General features: G+C 38.2%; 1 protein-coding gene and 1 long non-coding RNA gene across 9 annotated transcripts in view; one reads left to right on the forward strand and one right to left on the reverse strand.

Moving 5' to 3' along the window:
• RGPD4 (RANBP2 like and GRIP domain containing 4) overlaps positions 1–27676 on the forward strand; it is a 65653-nt gene that overhangs the window by 28808 nt on the left and 9169 nt on the right. Inside the window, exons 9-23 of one of the 8 annotated variants that reach the window (XR_922911.4) lie at positions 1061–1270; positions 3415–3596; positions 3680–3855; positions 4023–4146; positions 5067–5228; positions 5495–5632; positions 5895–6041; positions 6983–7162; positions 7250–7333; positions 10491–10626; positions 14184–14278; positions 15006–17229; positions 24269–24408; positions 25076–25181; positions 26973–27027. Coding sequence is in view for 6 of the 8 variants with exons in the window: in NM_182588.3 (NP_872394.2) it covers positions 1061–1270; positions 3415–3596; positions 3680–3855; positions 4023–4146; positions 5067–5228; positions 5495–5632; positions 5895–6041; positions 6983–7162; positions 7250–7333; positions 10491–10626; positions 14184–14278; positions 15006–17229; positions 24269–24408; positions 26973–27174 (4200 nt within the window). In the remaining 2 variants the exon portion in view is untranslated. Of the gene's footprint in view, positions 1–1060; positions 1271–3414; positions 3597–3679; positions 3856–4022; positions 4147–5066; positions 5229–5494; positions 5633–5894; positions 6042–6982; positions 7163–7249; positions 7334–10490; positions 10627–12027; positions 12751–14183; positions 14279–15005; positions 17230–18106; positions 18185–20567; positions 20692–22921; positions 23122–24268; positions 24409–25075; positions 25237–26972; positions 27175–27676 lie in introns of those variants that run through there. The other 7 variants (XR_007073111.1, NM_182588.3, XM_011511017.4 and 4 more) reach the window with 7 other exon arrangements.
• LOC124906057 (uncharacterized) overlaps positions 1–27676 on the reverse strand; it is a 47064-nt gene that overhangs the window by 7462 nt on the left and 11926 nt on the right. The window lies entirely within an intron of this gene.

The following is a 27676-nucleotide window of genomic DNA, read 5'->3' on the forward strand; positions in this document are numbered from 1 at the left end:
CTTTTACTATGTTCATAGAGTATTATCACTGTCACCACAGTCAGTTTTAGAAGATTTTCATCACTCCATGAGGAATTCCTTACCTATTAGCAGTTACTCCCCATTTTACCCAAACCTCTCAGCCTTGGCAACCGCTAATCTGTCTCTGTAGGTTTGCCTCTTCTGAACATTTCACATAAATGGAATCATATAGTATGTGGTCTTTTGTGACTGGCTTCTTTCATTTAGCAAGGTTTTCAAGGTTCATCTGTGTTATAGCATGTATCAGTACTTTATCCGAGGACTATGATTTTTTGATTGCTTACTGTAAACCTATGGCATAAAAATCTCTGGGAACAAGGCCTGGAAATAATTCTTTTTTTTTTTTTTTTCCTGAGACAGTCTTACTCTGTCGCCCGGGCTGGAGTGCAGTGGCGTGATCTCGGCTCACTGCAAGCTCCGCCTCCCGGGTTCACACCATTCTCCTCCCTCAGCCTCCCCAGTAGCTGGGACTACAGGCACCCGCCACCAGGGCCGGCTAATTTTTTTTGTGTGTGTATTTTTAGTAGAGATGGAGTTTCACTGTGTTAGCCAGGATGGTCTTGATCTCCTGACCTCATTATCCACCCAGCTTGGCCTCCCAAAGTGCTGGGATTACAAGCATGAGCCACCATGCCCAGCTGGAAATAATTCTTAAAAGCTGTTTAAAGGAGGATTCTGATGAGCCAGGTTTAGAAATCAGTGTATCAGATCAGAGAATAAGAGCTTGTCCCTGTTCTCCTATGGCCACTTAAATCCAGACCTTTTCATCTAAAATGCAAATACGTTTGGCATTTTTCATACACATTCCTGTCTTTTTTCCCCCTTCTGCTGTCTTATGTAGATACTGAGAATATTAAACCTGTACTCTTTTCATTTGCTACATAAGCACCCGTTTTGTTGTCCAGCTGTATTTTTTGGGTTGGAGGGTTAGGTCTGCAATAATCATATTATTTCCCCTTTGGGTATACAAATGAGACAACGTGAGCAAATACAATCTGTATTTTTAAAGTGATGGAAATAACTTAAATTTTTTTTTCAGGGCACATGTTGCTAAACTTAAGTCGTGGCAAGCAAGATTTTTTAAAAGTGGTTGTTGAAACTTTTGCCAACAAAAGCGGGCAGTCTGCATTATATGATGCTCTGTTTTCTAGTCAGTCACCTAAGGATACATCTTTTCTTGGTAGCGATGATATTGGAAACATTGATGTACAAGAACCAGAGCTTGAAGATTTGGCTAGATACGATGTTGGTAAGTTATATGTTTCAGAGGAAATGGTCTCCGTCTTAATTCTTATAAATTGCCCATAATCTTATTACCCAGAAATAACGACTTAATATTTTCCTGTATTCCTTTTGTGTGTGGGTTGGGCTGGGGGGAGTTTGAATGTGGTGCTGTGGGGGTGGCATGTATTTTTTGTTGTTGTTGTTGTTTTTGAGACCAAGTTTTGCTCTTGTCGCCCATGCTGGAGTGCAGTGGTGCGATCTCGGCTCACTGTAACCTCTGCCTCCCGGGTTCAAGTGATTCTACTGCCTCAGTCTCCCAAGTAGCGGGATTACAAATGCCCACCACCATGCCCGGCTAATTTTTTTGTAGTTTTAGTAGAGACAGGGTTTCATCATGTTGGTCAGGCTGGTCTCAAACTCCTGACCTCAGGTGATCCACCTGCCTTGGCCTCCCAAAGTGCTGGGATTACAGGTGTGAGCCACCGTGACCAGCCTTGTTGTATTTTGAGACAGGGTCTCGCTGTGTCACCTGGGCTGGAGTGTAGTGGCGTGATCGTAGGTCACTGCTGCCTTGAACTTCTGGGCTCAAGGGATTCTCTTGCCTCAGCCTCCTGAGTAGCTGGTACCATAGGCACATGCCACTCGGCCCAGATAATTTTTTTTTTTAATTGGTAGAGACAGGGTCTCCCTTTGTTGCCCAGGCTAGTCTCCAACTCCTAGGCTCAAGTGATCCTCCTGCCTAAGCCCCCCAAAGTGTTGGGATTAAGCCTGACACAGTGGCTCATATCTGTAATCCCAGCACTTTGGGAGGCCGAGGCGGGCAGATCACCTGAGATCAGGAGTTCAAGACCATCCTGGCCAACATGGTGAAACCCCGTCTCTACTAAAAATACAAAAATTATCCGGGGGTGGTGGCATGTGCCTGTAGTCCCTACTCAGGAGGCTGAGGCAGGAGAATCGCTTCAACCTGGGAGGTGGAGGTTGCAGTGAGCCAAGATGACACTGCTGCACTACAGCCTGGGCGACAGAGCGAGACTTCGTCTCAAAAACAAAAAGTGTTGGAATTATAGGCATGAGCCACTGCATCTGGCCATATTTTTCATCTAAATGGTTATGTATGATTTATCTTGCTTCCTTCATGAATTCTCTCCCATAGTCTCTGTATTAAAACTATAAATATCACTTTTATTGGCAATATAATCTTTTTTATGAAGTAGTCATAATTTGCTTGCTACTTTCTGTTATTGGGCATCCAAGTTTTCTCAACTTTTCCACTGTTAATAATCATACTCTGATAAAAACTTCAACAAAAAGTGTCTTCATGGCAAGTTATTTCCATAGAGATACCTATAAACATAATTACTGAGACAAAGGACATGAACATCTTTAAGTCTTGCAAATTGCCAAAATGACAGAAAGATTATACCTCTTCATGCTTCCAGAAGCACATAACCTTTTCTTTTCTTTTCTTTTCTTTTCTTTTCTTTTCTTTTCTTTTCTTTTCTTTTTTTTGAGACAGAGTCTCACTCTGTCACCCAGGCTGGAGCACAGTGGCGCAATCTTGGCTCACTGCAACTTCCGCCTGCCAGGTTCAAGCAATTGTCTTGCCTCAGCCTCCCACGTAGCTGGGACTATAGGCACGTGACACCGTGCTCGGCTAATTTTTTGTATTTTTAGTAGAGGCGGAGTTTCACCATGCTGGCCAGGCTGGTCTCGAACTCCTGACTGCGCATAACCTTTTCAATATTGACTTTCTTGTAGAAAAACAGATTTCTTTACTGTACTGATGGATTATATAGTGGTGTTCCATTGCTTTAATGACTTAAAGGAAAACCCATTGTTTTGGGGTTTCTTATTAGGTTAGGTGTTCTTTATTTGGCTTTTGTCAGTTGATTTTGGTTTATTGAGTTCTAGTCAGTGTCATTTTTTAAGATGGACTTAAACATTCTTCATCACTACTATTTTTATTAAAATTTCTAGAAATAATCAAGTGAGAATGCATTTAATAAGAACATGAGATTTTGCCTAACATAGAATTCCCTCCAGCTTTGATATAGAAAAGCAGTTATATAATTAAGATATATATAATGTGAATTGTTTATGTTGGCAAAACTAATGGCACAAGGAAAAATTTCAAACCCTTAAGCCAATTTTTTTATTTTATTTCAGGTGCTATTCGAGCACATAATGGTAGTCTTCAGCACCTTACTTGGCTTGGCTTACAGTGGAATTCATTGCCTGCTTTACCTGGAATCCGAAAATGGCTAAAACAGCTTTTCCATCATTTGCCCCAGGAAACCTCAAGGCTTGAAACAAATGCACCTGAATCAATATGTATTTTAGATCTTGAAGTAAGCAAAGATTTTAACAAATTAAATATTCTGAATTTTGTTTAATTTTTTTTTCTAACTTAACTTTTCCTTAAATAAAACAGGTATTTCTCCTTGGAGTAGTATATACCAGCCACTTACAATTAAAGGAGAAATGTAATTCTCACCACAGCTCCTATCAGCCGTTATGCCTGCCCCTTCCTGTATGTAAACAGCTTTGTACAGAAAGACAAAAATCTTGGTGGGATGCGGTTTGTACTCTGATTCACAGAAAAGCAGTGTAAGTAGTAAAACAAAAATATTGCTTTCACTTAGTGCGTAGGTTTTACCAGGGATTTAATCCTCATGTGAAGATTTAATTTGTCATGTGACCCATTAACATATATGTATGTAAGCGCTGAACTGTGTATTTAGAAAGCAATTTTAGTAAATTGAACTATTTTTTAGACCTGGAAACTCAGCAAAATTGAGACTTTTAGTTCAGCATGAAATAAACACTCTAAGAGCCCAGGAAAAACATGGCCTTCAACCTGCTCTGCTTGTACATTGGGCAAAATGCCTTCAGAAAATGGTGAGTTTTAAAGTATAAGCATTTTAAAAGAACATTACCTTAATTTTTTAAAATCATGAACTTTTTATTGAAAGTTTTTTTGTTCTGAAAACAGCAGCTTTGTCATATTATGACAGATGTGTTTTTTATTGCTGCAAAATAGTTAATGTAGTTAAATATAAGCACTTAGAGGAGCAATGCCTGGCACACAGTGAATGTTACATATTAGCTGAGCTGTTACTGTTATTCCTTAATAATTAAGTTCTGATAATTATTTAGCCTGAAAATTAAAAAAAAATTAGCACAAGGCTTTGTAGGTAAGACCATTATAGATCTTTCTAAATATTTAAGGTGTGTTTTGTGTCACCATTAGGTGTAGATGGTCAGCCTTTTGAACAAACTGACACTACAGAAGAGGCAGGTTTCAGCTATCTAAAAATGGCAACTGTTAAAAAGCAGTTGGGATTGCTACGTTAGGGTGGTATCATTAGAAGCATTTAAAAGTTGAGTGTAGAGGCCGGGTGCGGTGGCTCACACCTGTAATCCCAGCACGTTAGGAGGCCGAGGCGGGCAGATCACAAGGTCAGGAGATCGAGATCATTCCTGGCTAACACGGTGAAACCCCGTCTCTACTAAAAATACAAAAAAAACTCTACTAAAACTACAAAATTAGCCAGACATGGTGGCAGGTGCCTGTAATCCCAGCTACTTGGGAAGCTGAGGCAGGAGAATTGCTTGAACCTGCACGGCAGAGGTTGCAGTGAGTTCACTGGTATTAAGGTGGTTTAGTTATTACAGTATTTAGAAGTTGAACAAATGACTATTGAGGTACCATTTGGTTTTGACTTGAAATTTTAGCCAGTTCTTACAACTTGTAAATGAACTTTAGATCTAATCATGCGTGTTCCTTAAAGTTGTGTGCTTTTAACTTTCTTTTTTAGGGCAGTGGTCTTAATTCTTTTTATGATCAACGAGAATACATAGGGAGAAGTGTTCATTATTGGAAGAAAGTTTTGCCATTGTTGAAGATAATAAAAAAGAAGAACAGTATTCCTGAACCTATTGATCCTCTGTTTAAACATTTTCATAGTGTAGACATTCAGGTAACAGAGTTCCTTTATGAATTTATTGGAGATGGGAATTTCCAGTTTATAAACAAAGACATGGAGCTATACACTGCTTAAATTAATTGCCTTGTTATTTAACGGTAATCTTGTTTTCTAAATTCACTAGCTCTCACAGATAAGATATGACAGAGAAGAATAATGAGATGTTTGTCTCTTAAGATCATATAAAATCTTTGGAAAATCATTTGGGTTTTATATTCTGAGTATAAACAATTTGACTAAAAACTATTCTGTGTGTTTAGGCATCAGAAATTGTTGAATATGAAGAAGACGCACACGTAACTTTTGCTATATTGGATGCAGTAAATGGAAATATAGAAGATGCTATGACTGCTTTTGAATCTATAAAAAGTGTTGTTTCTTATTGGAATCTTGCACTGGTAAGTAGATGCAGTACTTGAGCTAAAAGTTTTATTTATTTATTTATTATTTCTTTTAAAAGATGGGGTTTCTCTGCTGGCCAGGCTAGAGTGCAGTGGCACAATCTTGGCTCACTGCAACCTCTGCTTCCCAGGCTCAAGCGATTCTTGTGCCTCAGCTCCCGAGTAGCTGGGATTACAGGCATGAGCCACCATGCGTGGCCAAGCTGAAAGTTTTTTGTTTTAAAAAGCTAATGATTTCATAAAAGCATTATTTGTATAGATTTTTCACAGGAAGGCAGAAGACATTGCAAATGATGCCCTTTCTCCTGAAGAACAAGAAGAATGCAAAAATTATCTGAGAAAGACCAGGGGCTACCTAATAAAGATTTTAGATGACAGTGATTCAAATCTTTCAGTGGTCAAGAAAGTAAGTAGCAGGTTGTTGTATGTACGTTCTTACTGATAACCCACTGGTCAGTGTTTTTGCGTTGGTCTTATATTTTGGTAATTTCAAAAATACTCAGTAATATGTTGTTATTAATGCACAGAAGGGATGTGTGTGTCTAAATGCTTAGATTTGCTTGCTTTGTCTTAGGTTTGGTGTGTCTTTTTAAACTTGGGAATCTAGGTATATGCTCTTAAAAAGTACTTCTTGGGGAATTAGAAAAGATTTCTAAGATAAGACATTGATTTTGTTATCTTAGCAGTGTAATCAAAACAAATATTATAACCTCAGGACTAATTCTTAATGAACTTTGCTGAAATTGAAAGTTGTTGCTGACAACTTAAGAGCATTTCTTCTCATCGTCATCAGCCATTATGAACGCCCTTGTTTTCTTGCTGTCAGCTGTTTGAGATTGTCATGATGATGTTAAATTATGTTCAGTCTTCTGAGTGTTTTGTTGGTTAATTTGTGTTACTACTCTTTTATTAGGATTTATGTTGTCTGGTGTATTGTAGCATCTGTATTTCTGTCACCATTGAAAATCAGTTAGAAAACATCAGTAACTTATTTTGTTCACTTGGAAAAGCTTTCCAAGTTAACATTCCTCTACAATTATCATGGTTAACAGAAGTAATAGAAAGAGCATGGACTTTAGAATCAGAAGATGTTAGATTGTACAACACTTTTCTGTGTTCATGAAGGAAAAAATAGAATAAAGACAAAAAAATAAAAATAATACAAAACAGCAGAAAAACAAAGAAAAAAGATAATTAAAAAACACTTTCACGTGTATTATTATTTAAAGTGTAAAGTGCTTATTAAAGTGACAAAAATGTAAATAAGATAAAATATATCATTTTAGAGTTTTTACTTTTGGAATTTTTTGCAAATGAAAGCCCTTAATTAATGTCTTTTATTTTTAGTTGCCTGTGCCCCTGGAGTCTGTAAAAGAGATGCTTAAGTCAGTCATGCAGGAACTCGAAAACTATAGTGAAGGAGATCCTCTCTATAAAAATGGTTCTTTGCGAAATGCGGATTCAGAAATAAAACATTCTACACCATCTCCTACCAAATATTCACTATCACCAAGTAAAAGTTACAAGGTAAACAGGAAAGAATGGAATCATTTCATTGTGAAATTGTTTCTAAGTGTTTTAAATGCTCTTTTGTGATTTTTATTTTTTTTTTAGTATTCTCCCAAAACACCACCTCGATGGGCAGAAGATCAGAATTCTTTACTGAAAATGATTCGCCAAGAAGTAAAGGCCATTAAGGTAAGTCACTTAATTTCTCTAGCTGTACTTTTTATTCCAAGATTCCTTCCCTGGCCACTCTCTCACTTTTTTTCTGAAGCTGGTCAGAATGTCCCCTTGCCATCCAAATAGTATGGCAAGGGGACATTTTGGTCTTTTTTTTTTTTTTTTTTAAGGCAGGGTCTTGTTGTGCAGGCTGGAGTACAGTGGTATGATCACAGCTTACTGCGGCTTCGACCTCCTAGCTCAAGAGAGCCTCTTGGCTTAGCCTGCCACGAAGCCAGGACTACAGACAGTCACACGCCACTAGGCCCAGCTAATTGTATTTTTTGTAGAGATGGGATTTTTCCATGTTGCCCAGGGTGGCCTTGAACTCCTGGCTCAAACAATCCTCCTGCTTCAGCCTCCCAAAGTGCTGGGATTGCAGGTGTGAGCCACTGTGCCCAGCCTACATACCTTGGTCTTGACCCTTTTCCATATTTTATTTTATTTTATTTTTGAGACAGAGGCTCGCTCTGTTGCCCAGGCTGGAGTGCAGTGGTGCAATCTTGGCTCACTGCAACCTCCACCTCCCAGGTTCAAGCAACTCTCCTGCCTCAGCCTCCCGAGTAGCTGGGATTACAGGCACCCGCCACCAGGCCCAGCTAATTTTTGTATTTTTAGTAGACACAGAGTTTCACCATGTTGGCCAGGCTGGTTTTGAACTTCTGACCTCAGGCGATCTGCCCGCCTTGGCCTCCCAAAGTGCTGGGATTACAGGTGTAAACCACCGCACCCAGCCCTTTACTATATTTTTGAAAGTACTTTATGTGTCTCTCTCCTCATCTTCCACAAAATTTGAGACCTTCAAAGGTAGAAACTGTTTTATTTAAAATATAAGAGTTCCTGACACAGAGAAGGTTCCCGAGTGATTGAACTGCTACAATGTACTAATCATACTCTGGTCTATGAGTTCATTCCCAGATTAGCTGTGGATTACATGTGTTTCAAATGTATAGCTAGGAATTGAAAAGTGGTCTGAGCTTCAAAAAGTCTTACTATATTTTAATACTTCCATATGAATTTGACTTAATTATGTAAGGAAATAGTTATGTATATATATCGTATTTTAACAATAGGGTTCAAAGGAGCTTGACTTTTTTGGAATTGGAAATAAAAGTAGGTTCTTTCATGTTTATCAGGCAAGAACTAAATTATACTGCTAAAGTTACATCAAGGATATGCTGATGTGTGGCGATTATTACAGTGTGATCAGCAGTATTTGCAAATTAAGAGAATACTATTTGGTGGGGAAGACATTTTTGAATTTGCACAAAAATCTTGAATGTTAATTCTGTGTAGTCATGGCCTATGACAATTACATACAATTTTGACTTAACATACAGGTTTCAGGCTCCCAACATTGTATTCTGTGGAAGTATAGTGGAGCACCGGTCCATGAGCTTGAAAAGCTTGGTACTAGTACTGACTCTGCCATTAATTAATGATCTTGGGCCAGTCACTTCCTTTGTGACCGTTTGGCTTCTTATCTTTAAAATGAGAGAATTATCGAAGCCAGTTCTCATCACACTGAATGTTAAAAATTACAGTTACAGCAGTGATTGCAAATTCAAAGCTCTGGTGCAGATACCAGCAGTGACCATAAAGTTTTCTAGGTGATTCCACTAGTTTCTTATTTCTTGGATGTGTATGTGTAGCATCTGGACTAGGCACTGTAGATGGATGAGTGGGGGAAATTTTATTTAGCTTGAAAATTGAGATAGTTTTGGACCTCATGGTTAGGTCTTTCTGGGAAATTTTTATTTGAAACACTTGTAGAAAAAGAAAGCAGACATGCTAGATCTGTCCCTGACCTCACTTGTTAGAACTGGTCGGATTCCTGGGCTGATACAGAGAAGTTTGAAACTTTTCAAAATTTACCTGTTTTCTGATACCACTACAATTTCTTTGGAAAAAGAATTTCCTGTTAAGTGTCTGTTTTGTAAGGGGACATTTTGTAGGTTCTAGGGTGTTGGGTATGGTGCTGTCATTTAGTTTTCTTCAGCAGAGATCAGGTAGCCACATAGCTACACTAGACGGCATTGTATCTATCTGCCATCTTGTCAAGGCAGCAGAGTTGTGTTAAGAAAACATTTTTGGAGTCAGATGTGGTTCAAATTCCAGCTGTTATTCCCTGCATCCCTTTCTCTCATTTTAAGATAGGAGCTAATATTGTTTACCTAACAGTGTAGATAGTATAAAAATTAAGAGTTTAAGTGCATTGGACGTATTATTATATACATAATAAATTCTCTGCAGCTACTACTTTTTTCCCTTTCCTGGTGGAGCATTTGAACATCACCTTGAGAATTAGTTGTATTTTGTTTGAACACAGGGTTAAGTGAAAAGCTAATTTGGGGAGGTGATTTGGAATGTCAGGTAGTCCAGATTGCAGTGTAGAAAGAACACACTGAAAGGATGGTCACTGTAATGTTAGAGGACTGTGAAAGTTGGGGAAAGAAGTTTAGTTTGTAGGTACTTGTTTTTTTGAGCAGGGAATTGTCTTGGCTGGAGGTGAACGTCAGAAAGGTTAATGTAGGCAAGTGTAGAATGGAAATGAAGGTGTGATCATTTAGGAGGTTATTTGTTTAGGTGAGAGAGTTAATGAATTAAGTTTTGTATTAACGAATGAAAATGGGAGCAGATAAATTTTTAACAAATTAAGAATCATATTTTAAAATCAGCACCAGGTACCTAGAACTCATTGGCAAATAGAAACTTTCAAAAGATATAATCAGGTCCGGGCGTGGTGGGTCACACCTATAATCCCAGCACTTTGGGAGGCTGAGGTGGTGGATCACTTGAGGTCAGGAGTTCAAGACTAGCCTGGCAAACATGGTGAAACCGCATCTCTACTATTATACAAAAAATTAGCCTGGCGTGCTGGCTGACACCTGTAATCCCAGCTAGTTGGGAAGCTGAGGTGGGAGAATTGCTTGAGCCCAGGAGGTGGAGGTTGCGGTGAGCCAAGATTGTGCCATTGCACTCCAGCCTGGACGACAGATCGAGACACCATCTCAAAAAAGAAAAAAAGAAAAAATCAGTTATTTAAATTTAAAAGAGTAAGTTTCCCCAGCACTGTTTCTGGCATGATATAATTAAATGATTAAAATTATTTGATTTTTTTTTCTTCCAATAGGAAGAAATGCAGGAGTTGAAACTAAATAGCAGTAAGTCAGCATCCCATCATCGTTGGCCCACAGAGAATTATGGACCAGACTCGGTGCCTGATGGATATCAGGGGTCACAGACATTTCATGGGGCTCCACTAACAGGTGAGCTGGCAAGTGGATAATCGCATATTTTAGTAAAACTACTTTACTTCCCTCTTTTAAGTAGATAACGTGTGAAATCACCTTGTTTATATATGTTTGTTAATATACATGTCAACGTCTGTTTATATGTGACTTCAAAAGCTGTATTTGGTGTTACGGAGATTTTTATAATCCCAAGCAGAAAAAACGAGCCGTATGTGATCACGTGTATATAAAGGCTTAAAGAACACTTAATCCACACCTCAGATGAGCTGAGATGAGATTATTCCTTAAATTGAAAAATGTTATTGAATAGAGTTATGCACTAAGAAATGCTTAATTAAGAACCTACACCTCTGGGGAATTATTTTGATGATAATGATGAGAGGCAGGACGTTATATAGGAAATCTTACTTAATTTGAAATATTATGGTTATATAAAGAAAGAAAAGGAGTTTGGACCTGAATCATACTGGGTTTTTAAGTTCTGCTCTATCACTTACTATAATAGCTGTGTAAGTTAACCTGCCTGAAATGTGGAGATAATACTTGCCTTACATAATTACTATGAGCATTTGTGTATGTGCAGGTGGGCATGGGTGTGTATCAGACATTTATTAGAGTATACAGTAAACAGTTAATGAACTAAGGTTACTAATAGTGTTTACTGTGGGTTGGCTATGTGCAAAAGTGCTTTGTGAATGTAATTTTATTTAATTACAGTAACTTAGAATGGCCGGTACCATTATTAATCCCTTTTTTATAAATAAGGAAATGGATAAAGAAAGGTTAGGTAACTTACTCATTATTATACAGCTAGTTATTGATAGAGCCGAGATTCACACTCCAGTGGTGTAACTCCAAAGCACTTGCCAGTATAATACATTGCTCCCAGGCAGCCAGAAATAACAAAATTGTTCCTTTTATGTACGACAGACTTCTGAAATGGTAGTAGTAGTGCCCTTTTTTTTCTCTCTCTCTTTTTAGCCCAGGAAAGATTTAGAATAAAATCTGGTTTAGATGAGCACATTTGTGTGATGGTCCATATAGTTAAGGCAACCCCACTAGCCTTTTGTGATAGTATCTTCTCAACACAAGCAAAATAACAGAAAATCTTTGTGAAGTCAAGCTTATTAAATGTCGTAAGTCATAGATAAGTATATGAAATGTCTAACGTTCAAACCTTGTTTTCTTAAAACCTTACACATCATATAGGTCCTTGTAAGAGGATAAACAAACCGGCTAGCCTTTCCTGGGGCTTTTTTAGTGATGTGTGCAGTCAGTTATTTGGTGCCTTTTGGGTCATGATTTCCATTTCTTCTGTGTACAGGCATAAAAGGTCTTCTGTTCTTATACAAGCATGTAAATCCAACATTCTCATTGTCTCATTTTATTCTTGCAATGACCCTGTGAAATGTGTAGAAGCAGCACATCGTCATTTTACAATTGAGAAACATGGAGACTCCAAATGGATTATTTACAGGTTCACAAAACAGCTTTGTGGCACTGAAAGGGCGAGAGCCAAGATCTCCTGATTTCTGTTCCTGTGTTCATAGATTCTTTTTCCTTAATAAAAGTAAACATATATCAAGATGGTCCTTGTTTTTTAAAAATAAGATGATTAAAATTAAAGATTAATGAGCTCATAGGAGATACTCAGAAGTACTGAACAGGGTGAAGAAAACTAAAAACTAACCACCTTATTAACATTTCTTATATTTGAGAGCATTTCCTTCTGGTTCTTTCTCTATACATATAGTATTTTTTATGAGATTGTTACCATGTTACTATGTTGTGTGTAGATGAGCTAGCCTGTTTTTTAAATGTTACTTTAGTTCTGAGCATTTTTAAACTTAAATGTTTTTTGAATATTAATGAGTTCATGGTATCCCATCACATGGAAGTACTGTAAATTCTGTTCCTTTATTTATGTTGTTTCTGGTTTATGCCATTACAAATTCTAGGACACTGTCCTAGTTTTGTAGGGTATTCAAAATATTCAGTTTATGCTCTTACCACTAGTATCTGATAGTGCCATTTTCGCACTTTTGCTAATGCTGACTTACTAGTTTATAAAATCCTTTGCCAATTTGTAGGAACAAAAGTGATATCAATTTTTAAGTTTTTTTAATACTAGTCATGCTCACCAATTCATGCAAATGGCAGTTGGTAGTTTTGCCATCTTCAACGTGGGTACCTTCCAGTTGTTTGGTTTCTTGGTAAAACTCACACAAAACAGATGGAGAAGAGTTTTTGTATATCAACATGAATGTTAATGTGATTTTTTTAAAGCCAACGAACACATTTGTGTTCCTTGTGAGATCCTGTGCATGAATTTGTCAGGTAATTTTTTTGACCTGAACATTCTCATAATAGCTTCAATTTGCACAATGCAACCTCGTCATTTTGCAGATTTTCAAGGCTCACTTCAAAAACATGTTCCTTGAGGCCTATTAACATTTCTTTCCTAAATTGTCTATTCATATGGTGCTTTTAAAAGTTAGATTACTTTTAGTAGATTTATTAGAGCCGCACAGTTTAGAGTCAGTAGTCAATTAAAGTCCCTACTTAAACTTCAGACTAAGATTTTTTTTTTATTTAATATTTTATTTTTTTCTTTTTGCTTTCATGCAGACAGACATCTTGCAAGACTTTAAGATTCTTGGGCCATTTCTGTCAGGTTGTTCTGTGTTCTGTGCCTGCTTCCTCCCCATAGTAATTTCAAAATAGCTATCCTCACCTCTGTAAGGTTTCCAAAATCAAACTTGGGCTTCTGGCTAGCCTTTTCTGGGTCTTGATTTTTCAGTGCTTTCCAGAGGCAATTGTTTGGAACCTCTTGGCACAGTTTCTGTTTCTTCTTCCATGTACAGGCATGAAAGATCTTTTGGTTGTTTTCTGGTAAAACTATCATAAAACAGTTGAAGCAAATGACTATTGGTAGTTTTGTCATTAACAGGGGTGCCTTCTAGTTGTTTTGTTTCCTGGTAAAACAGACCAAACAGAGGGAGCAGACAGTTTGTACATCTGTATGAGTGTTGATGTGCTTTTTATTTTAAGCCAGGGAACACATTTTATGTTATTTATGACATCCTTTCCATGAATTTGTCAGGTGATTTTTGAGCTGAACATTCTCAGTAATAGCTTTAGTTTACAAAATACAACCTAGTCTTTCTGCAGATTTTCTAGGCCCACTTCAAATGCATTGACCATCAGATGGCATCTTGGTTCCTTACGTCCTTTCTGTGACTGAATGTCCATAATTCCACATCATACTGATCTTTCTTAGAAAAGGCAACAGTTACTTTCTTCTTTATTCCTTTTTTAATGCTTGTGAGGTAGTTCTTGTTGATCACAGCGATGCTATTCTCTTATTCTTCATGTCATATTTAGCAGTTTTTTTCTAGTTTGTCATTTGATAATCTTGATTGGTGTATTTTGATGTACAGAAATTTAAAATTTATGTAGTTAAATCTTTCTTTAATTTCTATTGCTTTTGTATTTGTAGCTCTTGACTAGATAGTCTTAACTGTAGTATAGACTTTAACAGTGTTTTCTTTCTTTTCTTTTTTTTTTTTTAGTTGCAACTACTGGCCCTTCAGTATATTATAGTCAGTCACCAGCATATAATTCCCAGTATCTTCTCAGACCAGCAGCTAATGTTACTCCCACAAAGGTAACAAAGGAATAATTTATACATTTATAATTATTTCCTTTTTAAATTGTTTAGGGTTCCTTCAAATAAATTCAAGAGAGCAGTTCACTATTAAAACTTTTATGTCCCTTAAAATGTAGATATTTTAAATTTATCTCCAAATACAGAAATTATCCTTCTTAGTCACCTTATTTTTGAGTTAATAAGTGTGAATATTTAGAATATTTTAAAAATGGGAGTGGTGGTGGTGGATCCTTCATCGTTCTGTTTTAACAGAAATAGAACTGTAATGCCCTTGCTGACCCACTATGTGGTAAGTACTTTCAGGCCTGATACAGCTATATATATAACAATTGATTGAAGACTCAATATTACAGTGGTAGTTGAATGTGACAGCTTTGAGGATAGAGTGTTGGGGTGCATTTAGACCCTTGCTCTTCTGCTTATTTTGACCACAGGCAAGTTTCTTAACCTCTCAATGCATCAGTTGCCTCATATGTAAAATGAGGATAATAATAATACCTTAATTCATAGGGTTTTTGAGGATATTAAAATGAGATAATAATGTAAAGTGCTTAGAACAGTGCCCAGCTGGCACATTAATAAATGCTCAATAAATGTTATCATCATCATCATCATCATTATTGTTAACATCATTTGATAAATTGTTTAGGAATGAAGAAGGTATTTATTTCATGACTATTTTGGGCATGTGGATCAAGAAAATTCACCTTCATTTATGTTTCAGGGTTCTTCTAATACAGAATTTAAGTCAACCAAAGAAGGATTTTCCATCCCTGTGTCTGCTGATGGATTTAAATTTGGCATTTCGGAACCAGGAAATCAAGAAAAGGAAAGTGAAAAGCCTCTTGAAAATGATACTGGCTTCCAGGCTCAGGATATTAGTGGCCAGAAGAATGGCCGTGGTGTGATTTTTGGCCAAACAAGTAGCACTTTTACATTTGCAGATGTTGCAAAATCAACTTCAGGAGAAGGATTTCAGTTTGGCAAAAAAGACCCCAATTTCAAGGGATTTTCAGGTGCTGGAGAAAAATTATTCTCATCACAATGCGGTAAAATGGCCAATAAAGCAAACACTTCCGGTGACTTTGAGAAAGATGATGATGCCTATAAGACTGAGGACAGCGATGACATCCATTTTGAACCAGTAGTTCAAATGCCTGAAAAAGTAGAACTTGTAATAGGAGAAGAAGGTGAAAAAGTTCTGTATTCACAGGGGGTAAAACTATTTAGATTTGATGCTGAGGTAAGGCAGTGGAAAGAAAGGGGCTTGGGGAACTTAAAAATTCTCAAAAACGAGGTCAATGGCAAACCAAGAATGCTGATGCGAAGAGAACAAGTACTAAAAGTGTGTGCTAATCATTGGATAACGACTACAATGAACCTGAAGCCCCTGTCTGGATCAGATAGAGCATGGATGTGGTCAGCCAGTGATTTCTCTGATGGTGATGCCAAACTAGAGCGGTTAGCAGCAAAATTTAAAACACCAGAGCTGGCTGAAGAATTCAAGCAGAAATTTGAGGAATGCCAGCAGCTTCTGTTAGACATACCACTTCAAACTCCCCATAAACTTGTAGATACTGGCAGAGCTGCCAAGTTAATACAGAGAGCTGAAGAAATGAAGAGTGGACTGAAAGATTTCAAAACATTTTTGACAAATGATCAAACAAAAGTCACTGAGGAAGAAAATAAGGGTTCAGGTACAGGTGCGGCCGGTGCCTCAGACACAACAATAAAACCCAATCCTGAAAACACTGGGCCCACATTAGAATGGGATAACTGTGATTTAAGGGAAGATGCTTTGGATGATAGTGTCAGTAGTAGCTCAGTACATGCTTCTCCATTGGCAAGTAGCCCTGTGAGAAAAAATCTTTTCCATTTTGGTGAGTCAACAACAGGATCTAACTTCAGTTTTAAATCTGCTTTGAGTCCATCTAAGTCTCCTGCCAAGTTGAATCAGAGTGGGACTTCAGTTGGCACTGATGAAGAATCTGATGTTACTCAAGAAGAAGAGAGAGATGGACAGTACTTTGAACCTGTTGTTCCTTTACCTGATCTAGTTGAAGTATCCAGTGGTGAGGAAAATGAAAAAGTTGTTTTTAGTCACAGGGCAGAACTCTACAGATATGATAAAGATGTTGGTCAATGGAAAGAAAGGGGCATTGGTGATATAAAGATTTTACAGAATTATGATAATAAGCAAGTTCGTATAGTGATGAGAAGGGACCAAGTATTAAAACTTTGTGCCAATCACACAATAACTCCAGACATGAGTTTGCAAAATATGAAAGGGACAGAAAGAGTATGGGTGTGGACTGCATGTGATTTTGCAGATGGAGAAAGAAAAGTAGAGCATTTAGCTGTTCGTTTTAAACTACAGGATGTTGCAGACTCGTTTAAGAAAATTTTTGATGAAGCAAAAACAGCCCAGGAAAAAGATTCTTTGATAACACCTCATGTTTCTCGGTCAAGCACTCCCAGAGAGTCACCATGTGGCAAAATTGCTGTAGCTGTATTAGAAGAAACCACAAGAGAGAGGACAGATGTTATTCAGGGTGATGATGTAGCAGATGCAGCTTCAGAAGTTGAAGTGTCTAGCACATCTGAAACAACAACAAAAGCAGTGGTTTCTCCTCCAAAGTTTGTATTTGGTTCAGAGTCTGTTAAAAGAATTTTTAGTAGTGAAAAATCAAAACCATTTGCATTTGGCAACAGTTCTGCCACTGGGTCTTTGTTTGGATTTAGTTTTAATGCATCTTTGAAAAGTAACAACAGTGAAACTAGTTCAGTAGCCCAGAGTGGATCTGAAAGCAAAGTGGAACCTAAAAAATGTGAACTGTCAAAGAACTCTGATATCGAACAGTCTTCAGATAGCAAAGTCAAAAATCTCTCTGCTTCCTTTCCAATGGAAGAATCTTCAATCAACTACACATTTAAAACACCAGAAAAGGGTAGGTACTTTGTTGTTAAAGTTAAGCACAATTTTTCTTTCTTTTAATGTTTAGCTTGATGCAGACTCTTTGTGGGATACTAATGTTGGGATATAAACGATGCTTTGTGAACACCCCCAAAATATTTGAGCAATTTTTTTTCTCCCTTAATAAGTTCACGGTGAGGTTTCAAAGAGCAAGAGAACTTAGTTAAAGACATTTCAGTAACTGGAAGATACTTCTATCATGCTAGGGCAGAGCAAAAGAACTTGGTACAGTGTACGGACTCATGCTTGAATCATGCGCATTAACGTGAGTCTTTTTTTAAAGTGTTCATTTTCATTTGTTCTGTTTCTTTTGTCACTCAGAAAACATGATATTGAGGCTGGGCACGGTGGCTCACTCCTAGAATGCCAGCACTTTGGGAGGTTGAGGTGGGCAGATCACTTGAGCTCAGGAGTTCGAGACCAGCCTGGCCAGCATGGTGAAACCCTGTTTCTACTGAAAATACAAAAATGAGCCGGGCGTGGTGGTGCGTGCCTATAATTAGCAGCTACTCAGGAGGTTGAGGCAGGAGGATCGCTTGAGCACAGGAGATGGAGGTAGCAGTGAGCTGAAATCATGCCACTGCACTCCAGCCTGACTGAGTGACTGAGACTTTGTCTCCAAAAAAAAAAAAAAAAAAAAAAAAAATATGATATTGAGATGTTCTCATTTTATGTGTTGTATGTCAGTCTTGCTCATGTATTAAAGGAGCAAAGAATGAAACTACAGGGATAAATGAATATGTAAGACAGATTGGTGGTATAAATTGAGGGATTCTGGCTTTTTATGTTTTAAAAGCATATTCATTTTGTTTCCTAAAATGTTAAAAAATGAAATATTCTTTATTTTCTAGGATTTAATTTTAGCCTTTTTAAATCTAATCCCATGGCCTTTTGGACTAGCACCCCTTCCTCACAGCCTGAGAGCAAAGGTATAGAACTAGCATTCTCAGTATGAGATAACAGCAGTTTTTAGCAGCTGGGTAGCCCTTAGCAAAGTATTAATAACTGTGGCTGTATGAAATGAAGTACTTACCACTACAACATGCATGTTAAAGAATGCCAGTTTAAGCAAAGTACCTTTTGACTGGTGGCATGACACCCTTGTTGGTTTGTTTTTTAAAATGTACTGGGATGCTGATTTGTAATGTACTTCATTGCTCTGCTATTTCAGGTCTGCTCAATGAAGACCTATGTTTTATCTAATGTTTATGTTTAGCCACTAACGTCTGCCAGTATTCACATGTAGTGGCAACGGCATGTATACAGTATGGAAGAGTGTCCCTGTAGGGCTGTTCTTTTGTGCATGGTTTAGAAAAATGTTGTATTTGAAAATGGACCCCGTTTTTAACAGCCAGCATTCTACAGCTTGCATATTATATATGTTGCACCGATCAATTTTAGAAGTGTGGCTACTAGAGTGGAACAAGAAGTGGGATCTGTTGAAGGCCTTCAAGAACAGGTTAGGGAAGTGAAATCTCACCCTTAGTGACCAGTAACACATCTTAGCCATGCCAAACAAGTACAATGATAAAGTAACAATCTCTGATTTTTTTTTTTAAGTATACCAGTTTTATTACCAGCTAAGGTAGCTCTTAATCTTTTATTTTAAAGATACGGTCTTTGAGAAATGTGAAAAGTGTTAACTTAAAAGTGAATGTATACTTGCGTACAGTTTCTGTGAGCTCTAGGTTAGGAATCCCTGACCTAAGAACGAATGTGCCTATACACTACTGTAGAACATAGAGCCTTATTCTGTTTTGAATCTGATAATGTCATTGTCCCAAGGGACCTTAGAAATGAAGACTTTAGACATGAGTAAACTGTGGCCAAGAGAGGCTATCTGATTTACCCAAGGGGTCTTTACTGAGTAATAGCAGAAGTGGAACAAGAATCTGTATCTTACGGTGTACTGTTATTTCTCCTAGCTAGGAAATGATACTAAGTTTTTGTTTATAATGAAGGAGAGGGACAGATTTAACATTGTAAAAGGAAGGGCACTGGTTCTGCAGAGCAGTGTCATCCAATAGAAATAAAATATTACCTGTGTATGTAATTTAAAATTGTCATTTGGTGCAATGGCTTGTGCCTATAATCCCAGTTACTTGGGAGGCTGAGGCAGAGGGATCACTTGAGCCCACAAGTTCCAGGCTTCAGTGAACTATGATCACATCACTGCACTCCAGCTCTGGGTGACAAAGGAAGACCGCATCTCAAATAAATACATAACTAAATAAATTTTCTAGTAGCCATATTAAAAAGAATAAAAAGAAACAGTTAAAAAGGGAAACAGATGAAAGTAACTTTATCGATAGATTTGATTTAACTCATTATGTCCAGAATATCATTTTAACTTCTAATTAATACAAAAATTAATGATATTTTACATTATTGTTTTTCACCAAGTCTTCAAAATCCAGTGTGTGTGTTTACACTTACTGTTAGCATGTCTTGATTTGGACTAGCCACCTTGTGAGGTTTTAATAGAATGTGGCTAGGCTACCATATTGGACACCATAGCTCTCAGAATGTTTCCCTGTCACCAGTTGGTATACATGGCATGCTTCATGACTGGCTTACTTTATTAAACTCCTTTAGCCAGAAGTTCTTCTTTACATTAGTAGATCAGAACAGGTTGCATATAGAAGTTTTTTCTGTTTCTAATTTTTTGCGCTTTGCATTAATGGTGGCTGGGGATGGGTTGTTTTCAGCCATATGAATGGTCTTAGATTTTATAGTGTTAGCTACCCATAGAGTAACAGTTTTTATTTAATTTTATCTAGTATCATGCTTGAACACAGGCAAACTAGATGCAACTCTAGTCACCTTCCATTCTTGGCAATTGTTAACTTTCCTTACAGGAACTAATCACAGTTGGCTTTGGATTAGTTTCATATGTATACTAATACTTGCTTATGTTTTAAGATTTTTTTCAATTGCTGCAAATGCATGGATATTTTGGTAAACTATTGTATGCTAAGTATAGTTAGGCAACACTTTAAAATTTTTAACCTTTTTAAATTCTAGAAATTTGTAGTAATTCTTTTCAATGACTATTAAGTAAACACAAGATTTTTTTGTTTTCTTTGGTTTTAAATAGATTCTGTGTTCACTTAGGGTTTTTGGTAGAACACTAAATCAGGATGCTAATTCTAATTCATGATTATCGTACATCTCTGCATCAAAGTATATGTGTTTTTTATCAGTATGCTGTTTTAACCTATAGATAGGTTCCATGGTTTTTATTTTCAGGTAGAGTATTAACGTCAATACTTAATACCTCATCTTTGTCAATTTTTTTGACTGGTGTTACAGCAAAAGAGAAGAAAAAACCTGAAGATTCTCCCTCAGATAGTCTCGGTCTCCTGACCTCGTGATCCACCCGCCTCGGCCTCCCAAAGTGCTGGGATTACAGGCATGAGCCACTGCGCCTGGCTGACACATGTCCTAATTCTGGTATTCACCAGATTTGTTTCTTGTTCTCCGTTGTTAGTCATCAAATTTGTCTACTTTTTAAATAGAAACATTAGCTAGAGCAAGGAACTTAGAAACACTCAAGTGGCACTGAATGTGTAGAACTGCATAACCAATATAGCTTCTTTGCTTTCACATTTACAATTAGTTGGAGTTTTAGTTCAGCCGTACCCAGTATCTTCCATTCTGCTTCCAGGAAGAAATGGAAAAATGTCAGCCATGATGATGCAGTATTTTAGTAGCAAGTTGATGGTGTTTTGGTTTCCCATGGGAAATATTGTCACTGGAGCATTAGCAGCTATCGGTCACTTATTAGGGTAAAAAAGCAACTTCAGAAGAATTTAGTATATGCCAAAGAATCAACAAAGGAAGTAATCAGCCAGGGCAAAGGTCGCACAAGAGATTGTAATCTAGCAATCAGCAGTGGAATAAGCAGTCAGCTTACCAGAAACCCAGGAAAATGCTTCAGAAAGGGCAGTCAGGACTAAGGCAATTTAATGAAATGCAAAATAAATGAAATCTGAAGTTTAAAAATCTAGATTACAATTCTGGTTTCTAACTCAGTTATGAGACCTTGGGCAAAGTCATTAAATTTCTCTGAACTTCAGATTTTTGGGAGTCAATAAACCAATACATGTCAAAGGGCCTGGTAAACTTTACAGTTTAGACCAGGTGTGGTGTCTCACCCCTGCAATCTCAGCACTTTGGGAGGCCAAGGCGGGTGGATCACATGAGGCCAGGAGTTTGAGACCAGTCTGAACAACATGGTGAAATCCCATCTCTATTAAAAGTACAAAAATTATCTGGGCGGGATGGCATGCACCTGGAAGTCCCAGCTACTTGTGGGGCTGAGGTGGGAGGATGGCTTGAGCCTGGGAGGCAGAGGTTGCTGTGAGCCAAGATCGTGCCACTGCACTCCAACCTGTGTGACAGAGTGAGACCCTGTCTCAGAAAAAATAACACTTTACAGTTTATCAGCAAACAGGAAAGTCTTGCTAGGCAATGTAATTGATTAGTTCCGTGCCCTGGATTCTGGGCTCTTAACTGTATGAGCACTGTAGGTGTGAGCAGCAACAATTAAGAAGCTGCAGAGGTAAAGGTATAAGGGCAGTGATTGAGGATGTCTACCAAGCAGATTTCAGCAAGTGTGTTTCAAGAAGTATGCAGCAATCTGAAATACCTAATCCTGAAAAATTGCTAGAATCTAGTCTTTTAATTTTGGCCAGTATTTAGCAGTAGTTTGGCCCTCTACTCTAAATTAATAAAAAATAAGTAGTACTATATTATGAGCTGTGTTATCTAACAGTTTATCTTAGCTAGTAGCAATTAATTTATAGCTGCTATTAAAATGACTAACGTAGTTAAAAGTTTGATGACTAAGGTTTTTTTTGTTTGTTTTTTTGTTTTGAGCTGGAATCTCGCTCTGTCGCCAGGCTGAAGTGCAGTGGCGTGATCTTGGCTCACTACAACCTCCGCCTCCTGGCTTCCAGCAATTCTCTGCCTCAGCCTCCCCAGCAGCTGGGATTACAGGCACCTGCCACCGTGCCTGGCTAATTTTTGCATTTTTAGTAGAGATAGGGTTTCACCATCTTGGCCAGGCTGGTCTTGAACTTGCTGACCTCGTGATCCACCCACCTTAGCCTCCCAAACTGCTAGGATTACAGATTTGAGCCACCACGCCCGGCCTTGATGACTAAATTTTAAGAAATGTTTTAGCAATTCCTCATACACCTTTCACTTATCTTATAGTTACTTAATTCCTCTACTCTTATCATTTGATATTTTCATTTTATTGTGTACCTCTGTAAGGCCGAATCAATAGATTTTGAACAATCTCACACTTAACCTTTAAAAAAAATCTAATAGGCCCAGTTTCCTCTCAACAATCTTTGAAGAACCTTCGAGAAAGGAGAAACACAGACCTCCCACTTCTAGACATGCACACTGTAACCCGGGAAGAGGGAGAAGGCATGGGACAACTGATACGGAGTCTGTGTCTTCCGCCAGCACATACACACAGTCTTTAGAGCAGCTGCTTAATTCTCCCGAAACTAAACTTGGTCTGTTACTCTGTCTAAATATGTTCTTCTTTAATTTCACTGTCTTATTTAATTACTATTACTCTAAGGTACATATGCTTTTTTGGGCTGCTCCAATAAAATTTCTTTCAATATTCCACTACCTGTTTGCATTAGGGTTCTCTAGAGGGACAGAGCTAATTGGATGGTTGGATGGATGGATGAGATGGATGGATGGATGCTTATTAAGTATTACCTTACACGATCACTAGGCCATCTGCAGACTGAGGAGCAACGAGAGCCAGTCCAAGTTCCAAAACTGAAGAACTAGGAGTCTGATGTTCAAGGGCAGGAAGCATCCAGCACAGGAGAAAGATGTAGGTTGGGAGGCTAGGCCAGTCTCGCCTTTTCAGGTTTTTCTGCCTGCTTTATATTCACTGGCAGCTGATTAGATGGCACCTACCAGGTTAAGGGTGGGTCTGCCTTCCCCAGCCCACTGACTCAAATGTTAATCTCCTTTGGCAACACCCTCACAGACAACACTCAGGATTAATACTTTGCATCCTTTAATCCAATCAAGTTGACACCCAGTATTAACCATCACACTGTCCAAATGGAAAAATTATTAAACAAATCTTTTTTAAAATAAAATGCTAGCTCTTGCCCTAGGCTTGAACCATAAATAAGTGGTGGGAAGTTTATAGTCACAAATAGGTGGTGGGTATTAGAAAGCAGGATAAACTATCCTCTCACCCTTCCAAGAAACTGACAGTTTCAGTTTATTCCTCTTGATGAAGTAATGCTAAATTTTTGTAGTGATGTTTTGGTATATTTTATTACCTGTAATTAATATTACTGTTCAAAATTTAGGGGGAATCTGTCATCTTCCTGAAACTTCAGAATCACCTGGAGTAAGGGTCATTTGTATTCATGGTCACTGACCACGTGGGGTAGAAACAGCAAGTCATGGTTCCTTCAGGCAAAGTTAATAGTGGTGACATGGAGGCATCATGATAGAGCAGCAGACTCCAGAAGCCAATTTGACTTTGTGATTTCTGCAAAAATTACCTGTCAACTGTGAGCCTGTTTCATCGTCTGTAAAGTTTGAATAATGATACCTACCCCGCCTGATAGAAGATTCTTATGAGGGAACATGATACGTGACCAGTAAATGTTAATGCTTTCCTTATACGTGAAATGACATAAAATCTTGGAATATTAATAGATGGGAAGAAGATGTGTAATAAAACTGTCTATAAACACAATTCTGACAAATTTCAGAACTGGGACTCATAGGGCTTGTATTCAGTTAGATGACATGCTTTACAACAGAGATACTGTTTTATTTGTGTCACCTACAACATATAATCTGTTGATTGAGGTATGCCGAATAGATGAATGGCAAAGAAAGCAGACCTATAAAATATCACATAGTAAGATATTTATATTTAGATTTTTCTTATTTAGAATCTTCATCTGTAATGTATGATTTTGAAAATTAATTCTTGGAACAACATGTTGCAGAGCCTCCATTATGGCATGCTGAATTTACCAAAGAAGAATTGGTTCAGAAGCTCAGTTCCACCACAAAAAGTGCAGATCACTTAAACGGCCTGCTTCGGGAAGCAGAGGCAACCAGTGCAGTCCTTATGGAGCAAATTAAGGTGAGATCAGAAAACCTGGCCACCATGAAAACTGCCAATTTGGTTTTCTGGACCCTCCATACACATGTACCCAAGTTTAAAAATTCACATTGCAGATGCATCTATAACGTCTTGATCTTTATATTAGATTCCTGATGGTGAGAAATATTGCCTTTTTTTTTTTTTTTTTTTTTTTTGAGACAGTCTTGCTTTGTCACGCAGGCTGGAGTGCAGTGGCACGATCCCGGCTCACTACAAGCTCCACCTCCCAGGTTCACGCCATTCTCCTGCCTCAGCCTCCCAAGTAGCTGGGACTACAGGTGCCCGCCAACATGCCTGGCTAATTTCTTTGTATTTTTAGTAGAGACAGGTTTTACCATGTTATCCAGGATGGTCTCGATCTCCTGACCTCATGATCCACCTGCCTTGGCCTCCCAAAGTGCTGGTATTACAGGCGTGAGCCACTGCATCCAGCCAAAATACTTCTTTTACACCTATTACATAAAGATTATTTCTTAATTCCTACTTTTCCTAAGAAACCGTAATAGATTTAGAAACTAGAGAGATGTTCACAAATCATTGTTCACATATGCTTAAATAAAAAATGGGTGTGAGTCTTTGAATTCTAAAGATAACCAGTGAATTTAAATTATTCAACTGATATTTATAGTACTGAACTACTAAACAGTTTTCAGGTGGAGATGGCAAAGTGGCATGGGAAGTTTTTCCTGTTTAAAGTAGACACCAGAAACATCTAGGAATGTTGCAGAACAGTTGAGGATTACTCAAATGAGGTATTTCCACCCTGGCTCACTGATAAATCACCCCTCAGAATATAGTCATACTGCTTGTTGAGGAGTTCTTATGACCCAGGCCCTGGGCTCTACATACATTATTTAATCTCATCACTGGTTAAGAGAAAAATTGAAGCTGGTAAATGGTGGAACAAAATTCAAACTCATAGCTGTCTGAAAAGTACATGCTTTTCCCCTGTACTTTGCTGCTCCTAATAGATCTGTCCTGCCACTGTGCAAGGCCACTAGCTATCCTTGTCAGATTATTTTAAAGCCGAATTCAGTTATTTTCAGTAAATTGTATATATCATGACATTCCACCATTAAATACTTCAGTATGCATCTCTATAAAATAACATTTTCCCACTAATAAAAACATTATCATAGCTAACAAATCACTAACTAGCCCAGTAAACCTAAATGACTTATTTAAATGTTATATTTTCTTTTTTTTTTTGAGATAGTCTCGCTCTGTCACTAGGTTTGGAGTGCAGTGGTGCAATCTCAGCTCACTGCAATCTCCGCCTCCCAGGTTCAAGCGATTCCCCTGCCTCAGCCTCCCGAGTAGCTGAGACTGCAGGCACGCACCACCATGCCCGGCTAATTTTTTTTATTTTACTAGAGGCATGGTTTCACCATGTTGGCCAGGATGGTCTGAATCTCCTGACCTCGTGATCTGCCTGCCTCAGCCTCCCAAAGTGTTGGGATTACAGGCATGAGCCACCACGCCTGGCCAAATGTTATATTTTCATAAATTTATACTCTCTTCATGATTTCTTCGTCTTCTTTATTGTCACTTTTTTAAATGGTCCTAGGTTTGAGGACAAAGTTCGCTAACTTTCTTGCCTAACCTAAAATGAAAATATACTAAAAGCTATGGCTTGGTTTCAACCTGGAAATCTTCCTCAAAGACTTGAACATGATATTACCTTTTTTATATCATTCTTTGCCTCATTTCTCTGATAGTGTTTTACATTGTCTTATATTCCTGAATTTTCACTGTGTCTGAACTTTTGATTAAGTGCCGTTCACTGTGGACGTCTTAACTGCCTGGGACTTCAGGAACAGCGTAGGGGCAGGGGGTTAGTGGAGGCTACCAATGTTCCCCTCAGCCCATTTTCAGAGCCCCATGCCATACTGGCTTAGTTTCTATCGAAAGTAGAAGGCAGAGGGAACATCTTGGTACCAACCCATGGCTCCAGTTATTTGCTCCTCATGGAGACGTTCCATCAGTTCCCCAGCTTTCAACTCCAATTTCCATGATACCCTGTGCTTCTGAGACAAGAACTCCAGTATTTACACAGGATGCATCCTCTCCTCTTGTCAGTGATACTTGGTAAGCTGCTGGACTGACTCATTTCCACCTCTTCATCTGTTTCTCGTGAGAATTTCTTGATGTGTCTCATCTACTTTTTCTCCTCTTGTATTAGCTTGTTGCCTTTCTACTTCACCCCTCTTCCTTCCAACCCAAATAGCTTAGGACAGTGGAGTCCTATAGCCCAACACTTGGTTCATATGCAGCAATCCACTTTCTAGGCAAATGCAGCTTTGAAACTATCTCATAGTTGGAGTTCCGGTTTTCATGTCAAATGGATTTTATACGGTGATGTCATAAACTCCTTTGAAATGCTTCACATGCAGCTGCTGTAGTTAACTGAATTCCTTCCTTTATTGCCATATGGAGGGAAGGGGGAAATTTGGGGGGAAGAGAAGAAAAATACATGAGTTCAGTCTGCCATATTTAATCAGAAGCTCCTAAAGCCCATTTTTAACTCATTTCTCTAACACCAGCTTCTCAAAAGTGAAATAAGAAGATTGGAAAGGAATCAAGAGCAAGAGGAGTCTGCAGCTAACGTGGAACACTTGAAGAACGTCTTGCTGCAGTTCATTTTCTTGAAGCCAGGTAGTGAAAGAGAGAGACTTCTTCCTGTTATAAATACGATGTTGCAGCTCAGCCCTGAAGAAAAGGGAAAACTTGCTGCGGTTGCTCAAGGTGGGTAAAAGGAGAGTCTCAGAACTTCTGACTTCTAACTTAAACTAAACAGCCTGGTGGTTGAGAAGTTGTCTGTATGTGTAACTTTTCAATTTTGCTCATTTGAATTGGGTCTGTCATATGAGTAGGCCGTGACTAGATTTGAAAAGCTGACTTTTTAACATCTTGGGGCAACTGTAGTACATTTATATAATTTTAACGTTCAGCAAAATACAATAAGTGCTTAGCTTGATCTTCTAGCTCTTTGAAAATTGGATTTTTATCCTGGTGTTGCGTTCTGGTGTTCAGCTGAACGTGGTTTTGTTTTAAATTCTACTTTTTAAAAAACATTTATTAGCTTGTTCCTTTTCTACTTCACCCCTCTTCCTTCCTCCAACCCCAAATAGCCTAAGACAATGGAGTCATATAGCCCAACACTTGGTCTATATACAGCAGTCCACTTTCTAGGCAAATGCAGTTTTAAAACTGTGCCATAGGCCAGGCGCTGGTGGTTCATGCCTAT

The sequence above is a fragment of the Homo sapiens genome, chromosome 2 (assembly GCF_000001405.40).
Source record: "Homo sapiens chromosome 2, GRCh38.p14 Primary Assembly".
NCBI classification, from domain to species: Eukaryota; Metazoa; Chordata; class Mammalia; order Primates; family Hominidae; genus Homo; species Homo sapiens.